We start from the raw sequence: 20138 nt of genomic DNA, 5'->3' as shown, positions 1-20138 counted from the left end.
TCCACACTGTTTTCCATAGTGGTTGTACTAGTTTACATTCCCACCAACAGTGTAAGAGTGTTTCTTTTCACCACATCCATGCCAACATCTATTATTTTTTTGTTATGGCCATTCTTGCAGGAGTAAGGTGGTATCGCAGTGTGGTTTTGATTTGCATTTCCCTGAGAATTAGTGATGTTGAGCATTTTTCCATATGCTCGTTGGTCATTTGTGTATCTCCTTGTGAGAATTGTCTATTCATGTCCTTAGCCCATTTTTTGATGGGATCGTTTGTTTTTTTCTTGCTGATTTATTTGCATACCTTGTAGATTCTGGATATTAGTCCTTTGTCAGATGTATAGATTGTGAAGATTTTCTCCCACTCTGTGGGTTGTCTGTTAACTCTGCTGATTATTTCTTTTGCTGTGCAGAAGCTTTTTAGTTTAATTAAGTCCCTATTTATCTATTTACCTTTGTCTTTGTTGCATTTGCTTTTGGGTTCTTGGTCACGAAGTCTTTGCCTAAGCTAATGTCTAGAAGGGCTTTTTCGATGTTATCTTCTAGAATCGTTATGGTTTCAGGTCTTAGATTTAAGTCTTTGATCCATCTTGAGTTGATTTTTTATAAGGTAAGATATGAGGATCCAGTTTATTCTTCTCCATGTGGCTAGCCAATTATCCCAGCACCGTTTGTTGAATAGGATGTACTTTCCCCACTTTATGTTTTTGTTTGCTTTGTCAAAGATCAGTTGGCTATAAGTATTTGGCTTTATTCCTAGGTTCTCCGTTTTGTTCCATTGGTCTATGTGCCTATTTTTATACTAGTATTATGCTGTTTTGGTGACTATGGTGTTATAGTATGGTTTGAAGTTAGGCAATGTGATGCCTCCAGGTTTGTTCTTTTTGCTTAGTCTTCCTTGCTTTGGCTATGTGGGCTCTTTTTTGGTTCCATATGAATTTTAGGATTTCTTTTTCTACTTTTGTGAAGAATGATGGTAGTATTTTGATGGGGATTGCATTGACTTTGTAGATTGCTTTTGCAATCTACAAAGTATGGTCATTTTCACAATATTGATTGTACCTATTCATGAACATGGGATGTGTTTCCATTTGTTTGTGTCATCTGTGATTTCTTTCAGTAGTGATTTGTAGTTTTCCTTGTAGAGGTCTTTCATGTCCTTCGTTAGGTATATTCCTAAGTATTTTATTTTATTTTTGCAGCTATTGGTTGATGTTGGTGTATAGCAGAGCTACTGATTTGTGTACATTAATTTTGTATCCTGAAACTTTGCTGAATTTGTTTACCAGTTCTAGGAGCTTTCAAGATGAATCCTTAGGGTTTTCTAGGTATATGATCATATCATCAGCAAACAGCAACAGTTTGACTTCCTCTTTACCAATTTGGATGCCCTTTATTTCTTTCTCTTTGAGTGCTCTGGCCAGGACTTCCAGTACTATGCTGAATAAAAGTGGTGAAAGTGTCTTGTCTTGTTCCAATTCTCAGGGAAAATGCTTTCAACTTTTCCCCATTCAGCATAATGTTGGCTGTGGGTTTGTCGTAGTTAGCTTTTATTACCTTAAGATATGTTCCTTCTGTGCTAATTTTGCTGAGGGTTTTAATCATAAAGGATGTTAGATTTTGTCAAATGCTTTTTCTGAATCTATTGAGATGATCATGTGATTTTTGTTTTTAATTCTGTTTGTGTGGTGTATCACATTTATTAACTTGTGGATGTTAAACCATCCCTGCATCCCTGGTGTAAAACCCACTTGATCATGGTGGATTATCTTTTTGATATGCTGTTGGATTTGGTTAGCTAGTATTTTGTTGAGGATTTTTACATCTATGTTCATCAGGGATACTGGCCTGTAGTTTTCTTTTTTTGTTATGTCCTTCCCTGGTTTTTGTATTAGGGTGCTACTGGCTTCATAGAATGATTTAGGGAGGATTCCCTCTTTCTCTATCCCATGGAATAGTGTCAATAGAATTGGTACCAATTCTTCTTTGAATGTCTGATAGAATTCAGCTATGAATCTGTCTGGTCCTGGATTTTTTTTTGTTGACAATTTTAAAAGTTACCATTCAATCTTGCTGCTTGTTATTGATCTGTTTATAGTTCCTATATCTTTCTGGTTTAATCGAAGGGTTGTATATTTCCAGGAATGTATCCATCTCCTCTAGCTTTTCTAGTTTGTACGTGTAAAGGTGTTCATAGTGGCCTTGAATAATCTTTTGTATTTCTGTGATATGAGTAGTAATATCTCCATTTCATTTCTAATTGAGATTATTTGGATCTTCTCTCTTCTTTTCTTGGTTATCAATTTTATTTATCTTTTCAAATAACCAGATTTTTGTTTCATTTCTCTTTTGTATTTTTTTTGTTTCAATTTCATTTAGTTCTGCCCTGATCTTTGTAATTTCTTTTCTTCTGCTGGGTTTGGGTTTGGATTGTTCTTGTTTCTCCAGCTCCAGGAGGTGTGACCTTAGATTGCCTATTTGTGCTCTTTCAGACTTTTTGATGTAGGCATTTAATGCTATGAATGTTTCTCTTAGCACTGCTTTTGCTGTATCCCAGAGTTTTGATAGGTTGTGTCACTATTATCGTTCAGTTCAAAGAGTTTTTAAATTTCTATCTTGATTTCATTGTTCACCCAATGATCACTCATTATTTAACTTCCATGTAATTGCATGGTTTTGAAGGTTCCTTTTGGAGTTTATTTCCAGTTTTACTCCACTGTGATCTAAGAGAGTACTTGATATAATTTTGATTTTCTTAAATTTATGGAGACTTGTTTTGTGGCCTACTATATAGTCTATCTTGGAGAATGTTCCATATGCTGATGAATAGAATGTATATTCTGCGATTGTTGGGTAGAATGTTCTGTAAATATCTGTTAAGTCTATTTGTGGTAGGGCATAGTTTAAATTCATTGTTTCTGGTTTGAAGTACTTCTGTCAGCTTCAGCCCATTCCTGGTGTTGGCTCTTCCCATCCCCCTGCCCTGCCCAGGCCTTCAGGATGGTTTGGCTCTTGGTGTTCTTGTTTTTAGTGCCTCCTCTGCAACCCTGTCTGGAAACCTTTGCACAGACCAGTTCTCAACCCCAGCTCCTCTGAGAGACCCCTGGGCTCCTGGGGCCTCTCTGTTCTTTGGCCATGCTCCCGCCCCTTCCTCAGATGGATTGCCCCCAGAAATGTAGGTGCCACCTGGCTTTTCAGAAACCACAGTCCTTTATCACTGTCTCTTCCAGAATCTCCGGTCATTCCACCTCATAATTTGTTCTGTCCTTTTGAAATTAACTCTTTTCATTATATTTGATAAGAATTTCTGCCCAGACATCAACGAAGGTGCTATAAACAAACCCATTTTCAAGCTTTATGCCATGGATCAGGCACTTTAAGATAAAAACATGTCCTTCTTCTAGTCCTACTTCATTCATGGGAACCCTCATTGGGGCCTCAGATCTATCTTGCTTCTTTTAGAGACCCTGGATCAGGGTAGCCTACTCTTAGGTGATGGTCCAACTTTTTTTTTGCTTGTATTCCTCCTAAAATAAGTATGATGCAGTATGCTCTTCTCACCTATTAAGTTGATTCTTATAATTTTTCATAAGTTTCTATACTGGAAAAACATATAATGTTCAGCATCTTATGAATTTTTTTAGTAAAACAATTATTTTACTCTTACATATGTATCCAAAGGTGACTAAATATAAAAGAAGTTATCTTTTATATACAACATTATCCTTGAAAAATACATATAAATATTTAACAACAGTATATAGCTTCAAATAGCCAGAAGGGGTACATTGAATGTTCTCAACACAAAGAAATAATAAATATTTGAGATGATAAATATGCTAATTACCCCGATCTGATCACTATACATTGTATATATTGAAACATCACTATGTATCCCATAAATAAGTACAATTATTGTCAATTAAAAAAAGATAAAATACATTCACATATACCCAAAAAAATGATCTCAAAAGAAGGTGCACATAACTTCACAATTTTTTCTGCTGTTATATCTGTTATTGCTTGTAATCATGTTTTCACAATAAACTTAATGTGTCAATTTCTTTTTTTTTTTTTTCTTTTTTTGAGACAGAGTCTCGCTCTGTCGCCCAGGCTGGAGTGCAGTGGAGCGATCTCGGCTCACTACAAGCTCCGCCTCCCGGCTTAACGCCATTCTCCTGCCTCAGCCTCCCCAGTAGCTGGGACTACAGGCGCCCGCCACCGCGCCCGGCTAATTTTTGTTGTATTTTTTAGTAGAGACAGGGTTTCACCATGTTAGCCAGGATGGTCTCGATCTCCTGACCTCATGATCCACCCGCCTTGGCCTCCCAAAGTGCTGGGATTACGGTCGTGAGCCACCGCGCCCGGCCTAATGTGTCCATTTCTAAAATATATATATATAGTACAATATAGTTTCCACAAGAAAAAAAATATATGCATCTAAAACAATATTACATATTTTAAATAAGCTCTTACAAACAAAAGAATATGTATGAAACATGCTGGAATAATTTCCTGTGTTAAAAAAGGGGAATGAGACTGGAGAATGTGGAAAAAAGAGAATAAATAAATAAGACAAATAACAGAGGCTTTTTGGGTAAGGAACCTAATCTATTCAATTCCTTCTAAGTAAAAATAAATAAATTATTAAATGAAAAAATTCTTCTCTGTCTAAATTGTTTCTTTTCATTCATTGAAACTCACTTCCAATTTCACCTTCCCTACAGAATTTTATCTTAATGTAACATATTTTTGTTTGACAGATTTTGTATTGATTATCGTTATATGTCTTTACAACAACAAAATATTTATAGCTATTGAAATGAAAACTTTTCTCTTGTGACTATGAAGCTTTAAATGTTCAGGGTGTTCTGCATTAAGATCTAATTTTTTTTTTTAACAGTAAGTTTTAGGGTACATGTGCACAACGTGCAGGTTTGTTACATATGTATACATGTGCCATATTGGTGTGCTGCACCCATTAACTTGTCATTAAACATTAGGTATATCTCCTAATGCTATCCCTCTCCCCTCCCCCGACCACACAACAGTCCCCAGTGTGTGATGTTCCCCTCCCTGTGTCCATGTGTTCTCATTGTTCAATTCCCACCTATGAGTGAGAACATGCGGTGTTTGGTTTTTTGTCCTTGGGATAGTTTGCTGAGAATGATGGTTTCCAGCTTCATCCATGTCCCTACGAAGGACATGAACTCATCATTTTTTATGGCTGCATAGTATTCTATGGTGTATACGTGCCACATTTTCTTAATCCAGTCTATCGTTGTTGGACATTTATTTCTATTATTATTAACACATATTTGATCAAAATGTAAAATGTTATGAATATTGATAATTATTAAACATGAAAGATGAAAATTTATTGGGAATGTGTCCCTTAATAAGATGGATATGGCTCTCTTTTCCAAATTATTCATGAATCCGAAGAACCATATGACATGGTTGGAATGATTTTATATAATAGAATTCAGCCTCAATTCTATTTCTATTTTTCATTTTTTTGTAGCTTATAAAGGCTAAGGAATCTTGTTCGTATGAGTAAATCAATGGGAATGGAAGCAGTTTCGTTACAGCAATGCCATTTCATTCTTTGACCTGATTTACATGGCAAAAATTACTCATTTTTGATTATCAGTTATTAACTTTATAAGGGCCTCCTTCAATTTTGTTGAAAGCAGAAAATTAGATACCACATTATTTGCAAAAGGGTTTTTAGTCATAACAGTTCCATCAGGTGTCAATGTTCCCAATCATTCTTTTATTTAACACTATAGAGGGTTTTACACCCTGGGACAATGGACTATATTCATGATGAGTGAGTGGTAGGCTTAAAAGAGGAAGTGTTTTAGGGGAACCCCAAGAGCCTTGCCTGGCATGCACATTGTCAGGCTCGTCAATTTTGGGAACGAGTATTTGGGGAAGATGAGGATCTAGGAACTCACTTCCTAAAACTGCCTGTGCCCATACATCCCTTGAAAAGTCTTTGTAATCCCCAAATATCCCAGTTTGATGACCAACACTATAAGGAACAAATCTCTCCACAACTGAGAAATCCCTGATCTAGGTAAGGAGTAGGCAGGGTGCCTCCCCAGGAATGAGAGACAGTTCTCAGTTTGAGAGAATGGGCAGAAGGCCTGGCCCATTAATACAGCATTCAGATAGAGATCAATAAAAACAGAGGTGGTGATTTAGGGTTGCAGATATTCGAGTACATCAAGGCATCCTGAGAATGTACAGCCTTACATTAAGGGAACTCAGACAAACTTCAGTGTTCTAGAGTTCCTCCCAGCTGCTGCCTGGATGTAGGAAATGCAATAAAGATAGAAAACAGTTACATCTAGGCTAATGGCTTTCCTGGTGACTCATTGATGGTTGAGGTGTGAGGAGGTCACTGCCCCTGTAACAACTGAGGGTCTTTTAACCAAGTCTCTGGACACTTATTATATGCCGGGTACCATGCTCAGTTCTTTATGTTCATTATCTCTCTCAATGTTGACAACAATCCTGTGTGTTTGGTACTACTATTGTTCGTCTTCTACAAATAAGCAAAATGTGAGGTTATGAAAGGCAAAATAACCTGCCCAAGGATAAGGGCGAACACAATATTCATCCTCATGTCCAGTCCCTCTAGTTTGTCCTTCTTTGTACCAGATCATAAAGTCACACACTTTCTGCCAAGGTTAATGGTTTTTTGGGGCCAAAACCCACAAACCCTCTAGAAGACAGTACAGACCATCTGAGGTCCAATGCGTGGGAGGGGAAGAGGCCAGAGAAATATTGGCATCATTTATCTCAGAGCATTCAAGCCTGGAGACCATAAGCCAATGAACAAGCAAAATCTATTTTTTATAGTTGTTATATGTCTTTCCTCAAATCACCTTTTCTAGAACAAACAAGAGTGTGAAGATTCTCTTTATATTTAGATTTTCAATTGTGCTGGAGTGGAGAGATCCCTGAATCCAGAGGAATAGGGACAGCTATAGACTTCATGGGACTCTCTTGGGCTACCCACTTCCCTTCTCTGGATCTCAGCTACTTCATCTGCAATAAATAGGGCTTGCATTTGAGCAGTGTTTTCCAAACTTGTAACTTTTTATGATCCAAAGTAAGAAAAAAAAAATTTATACCATGACCCAACACGCACACACACACACACGTCCCTCAGAAATTAGTTTTACAGTACTCAGTCCTACTCTGTGATGTCGTCTGATCTACTCTGTCTATTCTCTTCTATACATTATTTTTTAAAGGGCGGGAAACGTGCATCTGGTTGCTACTCACTAAATTGATATTTTAATCCATGAATGGGCGGCAAACCATGGTTTTAAAAACTCTGGATTCAGGGTATAAACTATTGAAAAAGAGTATCTTAATAATCAAGTCAGGGATGTTCCATGGGAGAATTGTGAATTAGGCAAAGCTTATTTTTCATACCCTCCCACATTTCAGGGACTAATTTTCCTGGCTTCCTCCAGTCCCATTTTATTCCTATAGGTCCTACCCCCTTTCACTTGTACTTCGGCTGCTTTGTACTCAGATGTCAAAAATTATTTCCGAGCAGATGCTTTCATTTTCTCTGAAATAGCTGTCTCCTTAAAAGCAGCCTGCTTGTTTTTGCTTGAGCTACCTTTAATGGGTTTCTGTGACTTGCAGATCCTCTGTTGGAGAGATGCTTCCATGGATTCTAGTCCTTGACACCACTCACCTTTGACTTTCAGAGTCAGGTACTTGTAGTCCCAGGCGACCCCATAGATGATTATGCATTGGTACTGTCCTTCGTCCCTCACTTGGACTTGAGGTATGTGGAACGAGGCCTTCCCTAGGGGCAGCTGCTCCTCCAGCAAAGTGGCTCTTTCACGGTGTGGGGATGTATCATTTTCCACCTTTTGCAAACTGGCTGTTATTGCTCCAAGGTTCACATGACTTCCAGTGTCAAAGTTGCATTCCAGGGTCACATTGCTGCCATGCTCTATTATGTACAGTTCCTTAGGGACTGTCACTGTGAATAAAGCTGAAAAGAAAACAAGATATTTTGTCATTGTCTGCCTTTACTTTACATTCCAGTTCTTACGAAGTGTAACCTGAGACCCATCTCACCCCCATTTTCCAAAAGGCACCTGTCTTATCTGGACATTCCCGTGGCGAATCCTTTTTCTCCTTTGCCCCATCCATCTGGGCAAGAGTGGGATTCTTGACCCGCTGATCTGAGGTGGCTCTCTCCTCCAAACATTCCCTCCTGTGCAGCTGACTGCCCTTTGCTCCTCTCTGGGCACCCCAGCAAGAGCTTCTGGTGGACAGCACTGCTTGCTCTCAGAGGCCTCTCCCACCTCCAGTCCCTGACCCCCCAAGCCCTGCAGTCATTCCAGGTCATCTGTCATATAAGAACAAAATGCTTCCTTTCGACTTCCCTACCATCAAGGTCTGAGCTCATGTTACTTAAATACCTTCACATCCTATTCTCCAGGTTTGTTTCCCTCAATCCATATTGATTAATCCATATATTTTTGTGCCAGGTATCACTTCCTCTCACCAGTGATGGTAATAATAACTATTACTTGTTGAATTCTTACAATTGTCAGACACTCTGCTAACACATCGTCTCACTGAGCTTCTTCCCAGAAGCCAGCAAGGTAGGTAATAATATTCTATCCTTTTTTTCAGAAAACAAAAATGAGGCACAAAAAGGTTAAGTAACTTGCCCAAGATTGCACAGCCAGAATCAGATCAGGTATTTCTAACCACCACATCATACAAGCCCACTGTAGATGCTTTCTATTTTCTGACAATAAAGGGAAAGGAAAAATGGAACTGATACTTAATGTATATCTAGTATGTTCTATGCCAGGCACTGTGCTAGGTACTTTTAACTATATTGTTTAATACTGAAAACATGACCGTGAAACCTGTTTTGTCATTATGGTTATATAGTTGAGGAAACTGGCTCCAAGCAGTTCACTTCAGGACATATGTTAGTAAAGTTAAAATCCAGAGCCAGTCAGATGTTTGACTACAAAATCCGTAGTTTCCACTCAGAGTTTACCAAAATGTGAGGGACACGCCACTAGAAGTATGTAAGATGATTTTAGATGAGGCAGAATCAAAGCCTAAAGGGAGTTAAATTATTCAGAGAGGAATTTATTCCCTTTTCAATTCTATTTTAATCCTTCAATTGCATATAATTTCAACTAGACTTCCACACCTCTAACACTGGCTATTTTTCCTTTTAATCAAACAGGAAGCTTCCGGGTAGATAACAGTATCTGGGTAGGATTTGATAACACTGCTTTATTTTCACTGCATTTATTTTTCTTCCTATTCTCTATTTACCAGTGCAAATGATACTTGTTTTTCATCTACCACAGGGGTATGTGGCTTTATTTTTTAAAAGTTGAATTGATCTAAATAGTTCTATAAAAAAAGCATAAGGAGTGGCCAAACTAGTAAAGGTAGTGTTACATCAATAAAGTGTGAAAAATGACAAAATTAGGCTGCTTCCATCATTAATGAATGGGTATTCATTATGATGGAGGTATAGGAAAATCTTGAAGTAGTTTCTGAATAATCACAGAAGATTAGATCAAATTATGTTCAGTAGAGCTTGCTTCATTCATTTATTCATTCATTCAATCAAATCATTCATTCAACAAATATTTGGGAGCTGCTTCTAAGCATTAGCTATTCCAGAAGTTGTTTCAGTATAAAATGTGATACGGAAGAGCATAGGATATAGTGACAGGTGAGCCTGGGTTCAAATGCTGACTCAGGATTAGGAGTCCTTTGACTGTGAGTCCGTCCTTTAATCTTTATGAGCTTCAGCCTCTTTATCTATAAAATGAGGTTGAACTCTACCTCTCAGTATTGTGGTGGAGGCTGGACGAGGTGTTACATGTGAAGTGCCTAGATCTGGCAGGCAGTAGGCACTCAGCAAATGTTCGTTCCTTTCTTTCGTACCATGTTTTAATTCTTGGGAAAGTGGTAATTCATATGTGGAATGCATGGCCAATCTTTATCCTCCAGGATATTTTACTAACCAGGACAGTCCATTCTCTGATCAGATTTCACAGTATAAGTAACTTTTGGGTTTTCTGCTGCTTGAATGATTCCCACTGCAGATGTCCTCTGATTCAAGTTTTTCTTCCCACTATCCTGCAAATCTTTGAAGGCAAAGACCAGGCTGAGTTTGCTTTGATATATCCAGTACCTAGCACATAGCAAGTTCTAGTTAAGAGCTTGGCAAATAAATGACAGAAAGAGAGAGAGGGAGAAAGAAAGGATGACCCTGGTTATATATTCACCTCTGCTTTCCTTTCATCAAACTGCAACTTGCCTGTGATCACACAAATTGGCATTCTTAATTGCCACACAGCACACTTGATAGTGATATGCACAAACTTGAGATTTATTTCAAATGACCGACATTTTTGGCTTGCCTCTATCCCTGTTTTAACCATGGCTAGAACATTAATGTGCCTTTCTACAGAGAGGAGTTCACGTGTGCCCAGCATTCTTTTGTGCAGGAGGGGCACAGGGGCAGGGCTATAAGGTGAGTGTACATGTGTAAAACAATGCTAATCATATCTGCACTTGCTGTGCCAGGTTGCAAAGACCCTGGAATAAGGCATGTAAAAAGAGATTTCCTGTATGATTCTTTTATTTTAATCCACTGCACACTTGGAATAGCTCTCACCTCAGAATCTCCATAATGGGACCCTCTTAAGGGCAGATCCCTTTATGATGGAAGCCGTCCTTAAATACTTGAGTTATTAAGTCCCTTATAACTTAATGCAGAGCCACCTGATACCAAATCCAATCTGTCCTTGAAGAATAATATTCAACTATTCATCAAATATGTAGTAATCATATGCCAAGTTCAAGAATTACCTACTACTTTTACTCTTCTATAATACTTCTCTTGTTTAATTACATTTGATAAACAGGAAACAGGGAAGAAAATGGGGCTTACAAGGAAGGTTAGTTGCTGAGTCTGCATAACAACAAGAATTAAATAGATGACTTTGGGTAGAGACTGTTGAATCTATTTAGCAAATTTATTTACTGCACTATGCTTTCTTGTCATAAGAAAGGGAACGCCTATAACTTCCTCTGGAACTCCCCTTAGCTTACAGCAGAACTCCCCTCTTTACTGCCTGGGCCTTTGATAAAAGTCCATTTTCTTCCTATTTTTCCTGTCTGCCTTGTAAGAATGCGTGCCAGGAGTGATAGGCATAAAATATGCTACTTGTCAGACAGGTGACATTTTTCAGCTAATATTTACAAGAGAAAAGAGCAATTAGCAAACATGAATCATATGTCTGAATAGCTCAGAATACCTAGAAGATTAATTGTTACTTGGTCTAATTTTGCCCCAAGTAAAGTTTCTAAGACATGCAAACTTTGAGCTTGATTACTCCATACAAAATAAGAGGTTTAGGCAATGCAATAGATTTTTGAAATCCTGAAACATTCTTGCTTATTGTAAGTTACAGAGGCAATCAAGACACTGATGCAAACAATTCTATGAAGAGGTTTTTTCTCAAGCCCAGCTGCAAATTAGATTCACTAAGCAGAGGGCCTCAATCTTGGCTAACATTGGAATCACCTGGGAGGCTTTTAAAACACACTAATGCCCAGGCACTACTTTGGATCTGTTAAAATTACATTATTTTGGAGATGAGGTCAGCATCATTAAAGATTTTCTTTTCCTGGGAGCTTCTAAAGTGCAGACAGTATTGCGAACCATTAGTTACACAAAGTAACATTTGCACGTGCAAGCGTCTTTTACCACCTTGCCTTCAAAGTGTTGTCCTCAACTTCACCTGGAAGCTAGGTAGAAATGTAGAATTTCAAGCCTTCCCCAGACCTAGGGAATCAGGATCTGCATTTTAAGAAGGTCACGGTGATTTGCATGCACATTAATGTTTGAGAAGTAGAGTTATAACACTGGTCTGCATTTGGACTGTCACTGGGAAGTAGCGTAATAGTTGATATTTCTTAAACACAGTAAGTCAGACACTGGGCTAGCCCATCATTTCATCTGATCCTCCCAGCAACTCTGCGAGGTAGATGTTGCTATCCACATTTTACAGATGGGGAAACTGAGGCTCAAAGAAGTGATGCAACTTGCCCAAGGTCAAAGAATGGTAGCTCATGGAACCGGAATTCAAATTCATCTCTGTGTCTTCAATGCACATTTATTTCTGTGCTACCAATGACTGCAGTTATGACTATATATCCACTGGCATGTGTACACTACATCCATGAGTGAGTTTTTTTTTTTTTTTTGCTGTATGCTAAGGAAAAGATGTTTTGTTTTCTACTTTACATGCCACATGGTTATTAAATTAAGCTTCAACCTAGGATTGAACTCCTGAAGGTATTAGACAAAGGAGAAAACTGGAAGGTTTCCACAACTACAAAATTAAGCTGACAACACAGGCTTTCCATTCATGTGGGGCCCTTAACTAAACTAAAGGGCAAAAGACTTGGCAAAAGCATGAAAAATTCATGTATGCAGGTCCTTTTGCTAGATTAGAACACCTAGCTTGATGCATTTCAAAAATTCTTGGGGGAGCTTTGCATTTTATTGCAATGAAGCATCAATGGTAGTCAGCACCTGTCACTTATTCAGGAAACACACAACGAATTATTTGCATTACCTCCCAAGATAGCTTCCTCTTGAAACTAAGTTTATATTTTATCCCCCACATTTAACAACAGAAGTGTAAGTTTTTTCAGACTTGCCACGTAATGTACTTGAGAAGTAAGGGTGGGGTGGGGGGGTGCTTTACATAGCCACATTCTTCAGAAAACTCTGAAGTTCCTGGTTTAGGACAAAATCCTGCTCTAAGCACCTGACTCATGCTCTGCTCAGTGTAGGAGGACTGCATGGAGACATGTCTTCGCATAGAAATCCTTTCCCCAACCTGATTATTCTCCTTTGTTTATCTCAGCAGTCAGCAGGGTAGTTTTGGATCTAAAGATAGGCGAAGTGGAGTAACCTAGGCTGAGGTCTGTGCCCCAGAATGACCTCAGGCATCACCATGGTCATTGTGGCCCTCTGGTTTTCATCTACCTCTGGAGTACGAAGAGAGAAGAAAAACATCAATGAAAAAAGACTGGGGTGGCTCTTTCCTCTAAGACATGACAAGGTATAAAAAATATTTCTGGGTTATAAGATGTCCTTAGATTTTGAAATAAAAATGTAAGAAAAAAAACAAATATAAGTGTGATATTTGCAAAAGGATATACACATAAGTTAATGGAACAAAAAGTCCAGAAATAGACCCACATAAATATGACTAATTGATTTTGATGAAGATTCAAAGGCTATTGAATGGGGAAAGGATGGGTGTTTTTTAACAAATGGGGCTGGAACAACTGAACATCTACATGTAAAACTAAAATGAGCTTAACCTATACATCACACCTTATATAAAAATTAAAATGGATTATAAACCTTACATATAGAATATACAACTACAAAATGTGTAGAAGAAAATATAGAAGACAATCTTTTACATCTTGGGTTATGTAAAGAGTTTTTGGATATGATACCAAAAGCATGATCCATAAAAGAAAACATTGATAAATCAAACTTCATCAAAATTAAAATCTTTGCTCTGCAAAAGACACAGTTAAGAAAATGAAAAGACAAGCTACAGACTTCAAAAGAATATTTGAAAATCAATATCTGATAAAGAACTTGTATCTAGAATAAAGAACTCTTAAGGTCGTGGCAGTGGCTCACACCTGTAATCCCAGCACTTTGGGAGGCCAAGGTGGGTGGGCCACTTGAGGTCAGAAGCTTGAGACAGCCTGGCCAACATAGTGAAACCCCGACTCTACTGAAAATACAAACATAAGCCAAGCATGGTGGTACATGCCTGTAATTCCAGCCAGTCAAGAGGCTGAGGCTGGAGAATCGCTTAAACTTGGGAGGCAGAGGCTGTAGTGAGCCACGACAGTGAACTCCAGCCTGGGCGACTGATGGAGACTGCGTCTCAAAAAAATAGAGAATTTTTAAAACCTTACAATAAGAAAATAAACAATAATTAAACAATCGTTTAATTCCTTAGTATACAATTACAAAGGATGAAATGATTTGAATGTCACCAATGAAGATATACAATAAGTACATAAAAACTTAACTAAGGCCAGGTGCAGTGGCTTATGCCTGTAATCCCAGCATTTTGGGAGGCTGAGGCGAGAAGATGGCTTGAGTCCAGGAGTTTGAGACTGGCCTGGGAAACACAAGGAGACCCCATGTCTACAAAATTAAAAAAAAAAAATTAGCCAGGCATGGTGGCATGGCCTGTAGTCCCAGTTACTACAGAGTCTGAGGTGGGAGAATCGCTTGAGCCTGAGAGATCGAGGCTGCAGTGAGCTATGATTATACCACTGTATTCCAATCTGGGCAACAGAGTGATACCCTGTCTCAAAAAAAGAAAAAAATATGTGTGTGTGTGTGTATATATATATAAAATATATATATAATATATAAAATATGTATATTATATATAAGATTATAAAATAATATATAAATATATGTATACTTAATATCATTAGTCATTAGGAAAATGCAAGTTAGAACCACTTCTACACACCTATTAGAATGACTTAAGAAAAGAGCAGGGCGTGGTGGCTCATGCCTGTAATCCCAGCATTTTGGGAGGCCAAGGTGGGTGGATCACCTGAGGTCAGGAGTTCAAGACCAGCCTGGTCAATATGGCAAAACCCCGTCTCTATTAAAAATACAAAACAAAAGAAGGGCATGGTGGTGGGTGCCTGTAATCCCAGCTACTTGGGAGGCTGAGGCAGGAGAATAGCCTGAACCCGGGAGGCGGAGGTTGCAGTAAGCCAAGATCACGGCATTGCACTTTAGCCTGGGTGACAGAGCGAAACTCTGTCTCAAAAAAAAAGAAAAAATAGAAAAGAATACCAGTGCTGGGAAGGATGAGGAACAATTAGAACTCTCATATACTTGCTGGTGGGAATGAAAAAATGGTACAGCCACTATGGAAAGGTTTGGCAGTTTCTCACAATAAACCATACACTTACCATGTGACCTAGCAATCCCACTTCTAGGTATTTATCCAAGTGAAATGAAAACCTAGGTTTGCCCAAAAAAACCTATATGCAAATATTTATAATAACTTTATTTGTAATCACCCAAAATGGGAAATACCCAAATGTGCCCCAATTGGGGAATTTATAAACAAAATATAGTATACATACACTAGAATATACTCAACAGCAAACAGGTATAAATTATTGATTCACACAACAATATGAATGAATTTCAAATGCTTTATGTTAAGTGAAAGAAGCCAGATACAAAAGGATATCTAATGAATGATCCCATTTATATGACATTCTGGAAAAGTCATTACTATAAGGACAGAAAATAGATCAGTAAGTGCCTGGACTTAAGACTTGGGTGAAGCTTTTTGTTTGTTTGTTTGTTTGGCAAGGGATGGAACTGTCCTGGATGTTCACTGTGGTGGTGGTAGTTATAGGACTATGCATTTGTTAAAATTCATAAGACTTTTTTAAAAAAAGAATAAATGTTATGGTATATAAATTTAAACATGCATATGTAAGTACATCCATGTATATATCCTTTAAAAATGATATAAAATGTTTTACCCTAATTTTTCACTTCAAACTTTATTTTATAGATAACACAGTAGAGCATCCAAAGAGCATACAAGTAAGGAAAGAGTTAATGATTAATGATTTGTTTGAGTTTTATTCAGAGGCAACTTTCATCACAGTCTTTAGGAGGCACACATTTTTTTCAAGCATTAATCTAGCAGAAGAAAATGGAAATAATGTCTACCAACAGGGAAGTGGTTAAATAAATTACAGCATGTCCAATAAAATATATAAATCTCCTTAAAAATGCAGGATGTCTATATTTGCTGATTTGGAAACTATAAAGAACATACATTTATTGAATGCTTACTAAAACTTCTTTTAGTCCTCTTCAGCAATTTCTTTCATGAAAAAATAAAGGGCAGGCTGAGAGTGATGGCTCACACCTGTGATCTCAGTGCTTTGGGAGGCTGGGGCAGGAGGATTGCTTGAGACGAGGCGTTTGAGGCCAGCCTGTGTAACATAGCAAGACCCCATCACTAAAAATGTTTAAAAAATTAGCCAGACCGGGTGGTACATGCCTGTAGTCCTAGCTACTCAGGAGATTGAGGCAGGAGACTCACTTGAGCCTGGGAGTTGGAGGCTGCAGTGAGCTGTGGTTGGGCCACTGCACTCCAGCATGGATGACAGAGGAAGACCCTGTCTCTAAAAAGTTTTGTTTTAATTTAAAAAAGGTAAAAATAAAGGGCATATCAGATAGTGCTATGAAGAGTATTTGCAAAGGAGGTTTTATTGGGCTAGGGTATGTGAAGCATTTCTGGGGAGCTGACAAAGTTCTTCTTAACCTGGGTGGTGGTTACAAAAGTAATCACCTTATAGTAATGTTAAGCTTTATAGTTGTTTCATGTGGTTTTCTCTGTGATATATTTTACAACAGAAAGCTTTAAATAAATTTTCAAAATATATTTAATTAAGTAAAATGAACATCTGTGAACCTACCACCTACCCTAAGAACTAGCACATTACTAATGATGTATGTCTGCCTGCACCAGAGGTAACTGGCGTCCTGAATATCGGGCTTATCAGTCTCTTCCTTACTTTTTTTTTTTTTTTTTGAGACGGAGTCTCACTCTGTCGCCCAGGCTAGAGTGCAGTGGCGTGATCTTGGCTCACCGCCACCTCCGACTCCCTGGTTCAAGCGATTCTCCTGCCTCAGACTCCCGAGTAGCTGGGATTACAGGCTTGTGCCACCATGCCCAGCTAATTTTTGTATTTTTTGTAGAGACGAGGTTTCACCATGCGGGCCAGGCTGGTCTCGGTCTCCTGACCTCGTGATCTGCCCACCTTGGCCTCCCAAAGTGCTGGGATTACAGGCGTGAGCCACCATGCCCGGCCTCTTCTTTACTTTTTAAGCTTTATCTTCTATATATAAGGTATGCTTAAGCAATATATTTATTTATGAAAAGGACATTGTGCTATGTGTTATCTTCTGGCCTTAATTTTTATTTATTTATTTTTTACTCAATATTATGCTCTAAGATTCATAGATGTAGTTACATGTTTTTGTAATTTATCTACATGCTATATAATAATAGATGTAGTCATATGTTTTTGTAATTAATTTATTCACATGCTATCTATTATATATATAATATATATTCTGCAAATATACCATGATTTCTCTATCCATTCTCCAGTTGAAGTTCTTCTAGACCTACTCCTGGAATCAAATTCTCCAGGGCATATGGATTGTTTTTATTTATTTGTAATGACTGAGAATACCGCCATAAGTGTTTTTTTTTCTTTTTTTTTTTTTTTAAATGGAATCTCACTCTGTCACCCAGGCTGGAATACAGTGACATGATCTTAGCTCACTGCAACCTCTGCCTCCTGGGTTCAAGCAATTTTTCTGCCTCAGCTGAGTAGCTTGGATTATAGGTGGCCACCACCATGCCCGGCTAATATTTTTCTATTTTTAGTACAGAGGGGTTTCACCATGTTGGCCAGGCTGGTCTCGAACTCCTGACCTGAGGTGATCCACCCGCCTCGGCCTCCCATAGGGCTGGGATTATAGGCGTGAGCCACTGCGCCTGGCCAAGTGTTATTTTTAAAATTTAAAAATAGAAAAGAAATGTGCACTGATAGGGTACTAAGCATCACATTGATTTAATTCAGGTATCTTCTTTTCTTTTCAATGAAGCATGCAGGTCTGGGGCTGTACAAGGAGCAAGGAAGAAAATGTAATCTTCTGTCTGTCTGGACACCCTGATAGCTGTAGCTCTGTCTCAGGCACTGAGTGTTGCAGTCTGATTACTTTCATATTTTTATATGAGAAATTTCTTGTATTTTTAAAATTATATTTTATTATACAAATAATACCTAATACATGCTTCTTGTAAAAAACAAAAACCTGAATATACATAATAGATAAGACTATCCTTTTTACCCCCATCCCAGACCTCCTCCCCTCCCCAGAAGTAAACACTAATTATTTCTCAGATCCTTTAGTTTTTTTGTTGTTTTCTTTTGCAGGTACCCTCCTCTGAAATCAAAACTCTTTAATTAAAGAGACATGAAATGACAAGATTTTAAAAAAATCCCATGAGGAGAAGGCATTCTAATTTAGGTAGGTATTTAATATTTGTCTGAACTGATGTTATCTGCATAGTGGAAAGCAGAAAAGAATTCCAAATTCGTGAAGAAAATGAGAAAGCGCTACATTTTTACTTTCCTTTCAGTTAATTCAGCAACATAATTCATTACACATATTTTTTGATTCTGTGAATATCCAGAATAAACATTCAATACGTATCCATATTCAGACTTCAGTGCAAAAACCTATTCCAAAGTTGGAAGATTTATGGGTTGTCTGCCATTTTTGATTACCATCATCATGGTAGCACAGTAAAGTAGAAAGGACATTAGCTTTGTTGAAATCTTGCCGGTGTCACCTAATAACTATGTAATCTTGGGGAAATTAAGTACCTTTTCTGAGTTCTAGTTCCCTCACCTGCAAAATGATCATTGTGAAGATTAAATGAACTATACCATATGTAAATTGCCTAGCACAGTATCTGGCATTTAGTGAATCTTCAATAAATGTAAATGCTCTTCCTTTTGCCCCATTAGTATACCTAACTGGGAGCTAGTGCCTATCTTCATTGTCTTGTGCTGATTATCTTAGAAGAAAAGATCCTTCCTCTGTAGAAAGAGCCAATGAGGGATAAAAAATGTTGCCCCTTGTCACCCTAGCTCACTCCTTTCCTAAGAGAAAAGGCAAAAAACAAAGACAGAAAACCCAGGATCTCAGTGTTTTTAAGCTACAAACCCACAGAGGTTACACATTCCCCAAGTTTTCTCCTGAAGCCCCCAGTCCTGCCACAGGATGGGGAACAGTGTCTTTTGGCCCTCATTTCCCTTATCACTCTATGGAAACTTGAAGCTGTTTTGTAGCAAGGAAGTTATTGCCCCTTTTGCTTGTCTCTAAAATGCCAGCCAGGCAGGGTTCCTTGCAAAGAAAACATGAAAAGTTCCTTTAGCTGGCCCTGCAGGCAGGAGCAGAGTAGAAGTAAGCAGAATATCTCAGGGTCTTCCTTTGAGGAGGGCCCCAAGTGCATGTCTCTAGTGCCAGACCAGGCTGGGCAGCTCAAGTGAGTGAGAGGAATGTGACTGGGTGAAGAGTGATCTGGAACCAGCTAGTAGGGAGGAGAAAGCTCTTCGAAAGGTTATCAAGTGCCAAGGGAGCCATTATTTCTCAATCATGAGCAGAAAGATGATTTCCCATGGGGCTGGGGCTATTGTCTTGAGGACTTAATCCTCTGTCCACACCTCTATGTTACTCTCTTAGCTCCTGGTGTTCATCCAAAATAGTGCACTCATGGTTCTAACTACACCCTCGAATGGTCTGAACTACCTTCCCCAGGAGAACAACCAACTGTGAAACTGCTTTTCTTTCTGCTCACCCTCATCCTCCAATAGAAGTCCTTTCTTCAAGTCCAAAGGGATAGCCTTAAGGTTCATTGTTCATTTGGGTTTTAGGAAGACTCAGTAAACCACATTAAGGTATGAATGACCAACGGCTGCTATTGTTGCTTTTCAAAAAAGAAACTCACAGAAACAACTAATAATATGCAGAATGTCTTCAAGACATTATCTTTAGAGTAACGGTGTTCCCTGGCCATTGTCTCCTTACTCTCCCTGCCAGAAAGGAAGGGGACAGCTGCTTGGCATCTCACCTTTAAGGGAACTCAACCCCTGCCCTCTTGTATCAGTTTAGATTTACATGGTCTGAGTGATCCTGTCTTCTTGTCATTACCCTCACTGGATAGTGGGAATAGATGGAGCAATATTCTCAGTCACCGTTTCTGTCAGATAGGGACATTGGCATGTATAAGCCACCATGGGGACTCTTTTTTTTTTTGTGGTGCTTGGAATAGCCCAGAAATCATACGTCCTCTCAAAGAAAGCCCTCAGCCTGAGGGCCACATTCTCATTTTTGGCTTTGGCTAGGAACCACCACCTGCTCTTCT

General features: G+C 38.5%; 1 protein-coding gene and 1 long non-coding RNA gene across 3 annotated transcripts in view, besides 1 other annotated feature; one reads left to right on the top strand and one right to left on the bottom strand.

Annotated features, from left to right (window-relative positions):
* Positions 1-20138, top strand: part of INCR1 (interferon stimulated noncoding RNA 1) — a 172297-nt gene that overhangs the window by 86957 nt on the left and 65202 nt on the right. The window contains exon 2 of the long non-coding RNA XR_007061406.1: positions 18142-18235. This is a non-coding gene — a long non-coding RNA (interferon stimulated noncoding RNA 1). The remainder of the gene's footprint in view (positions 1-18141; positions 18236-20138) is intronic.
* PDCD1LG2 (programmed cell death 1 ligand 2) overlaps positions 1-20138 on the bottom strand; it is a 60752-nt gene that overhangs the window by 28512 nt on the left and 12102 nt on the right. For both annotated transcript variants that reach the window (XM_005251600.4, NM_025239.4), the window contains exon 3: positions 7721-8026. In XM_005251600.4, coding sequence (XP_005251657.1) covers positions 7721-8026 — 306 coding nt within the window. The remainder of the gene's footprint in view (positions 1-7720; positions 8027-20138) is intronic.
* Positions 11153-11202: an enhancer, noted in NCBI's record as "active region_28170". NCBI's record gives its function as "activates an Ori minimal core promoter by ATAC-STARR-seq in GM12878 lymphoblastoid cells {active_cell/tissue: GM12878}" and the evidence as "EXISTENCE:reporter gene assay evidence [ECO:0000049][PMID:35858748]".

This window comes from Homo sapiens, chromosome 9, assembly GCF_000001405.40.
Source record: "Homo sapiens chromosome 9, GRCh38.p14 Primary Assembly".
NCBI classification, from domain to species: domain Eukaryota; kingdom Metazoa; phylum Chordata; class Mammalia; order Primates; family Hominidae; genus Homo; species Homo sapiens.
This window is presented reverse-complemented; position numbering and strand designations above follow the sequence as displayed.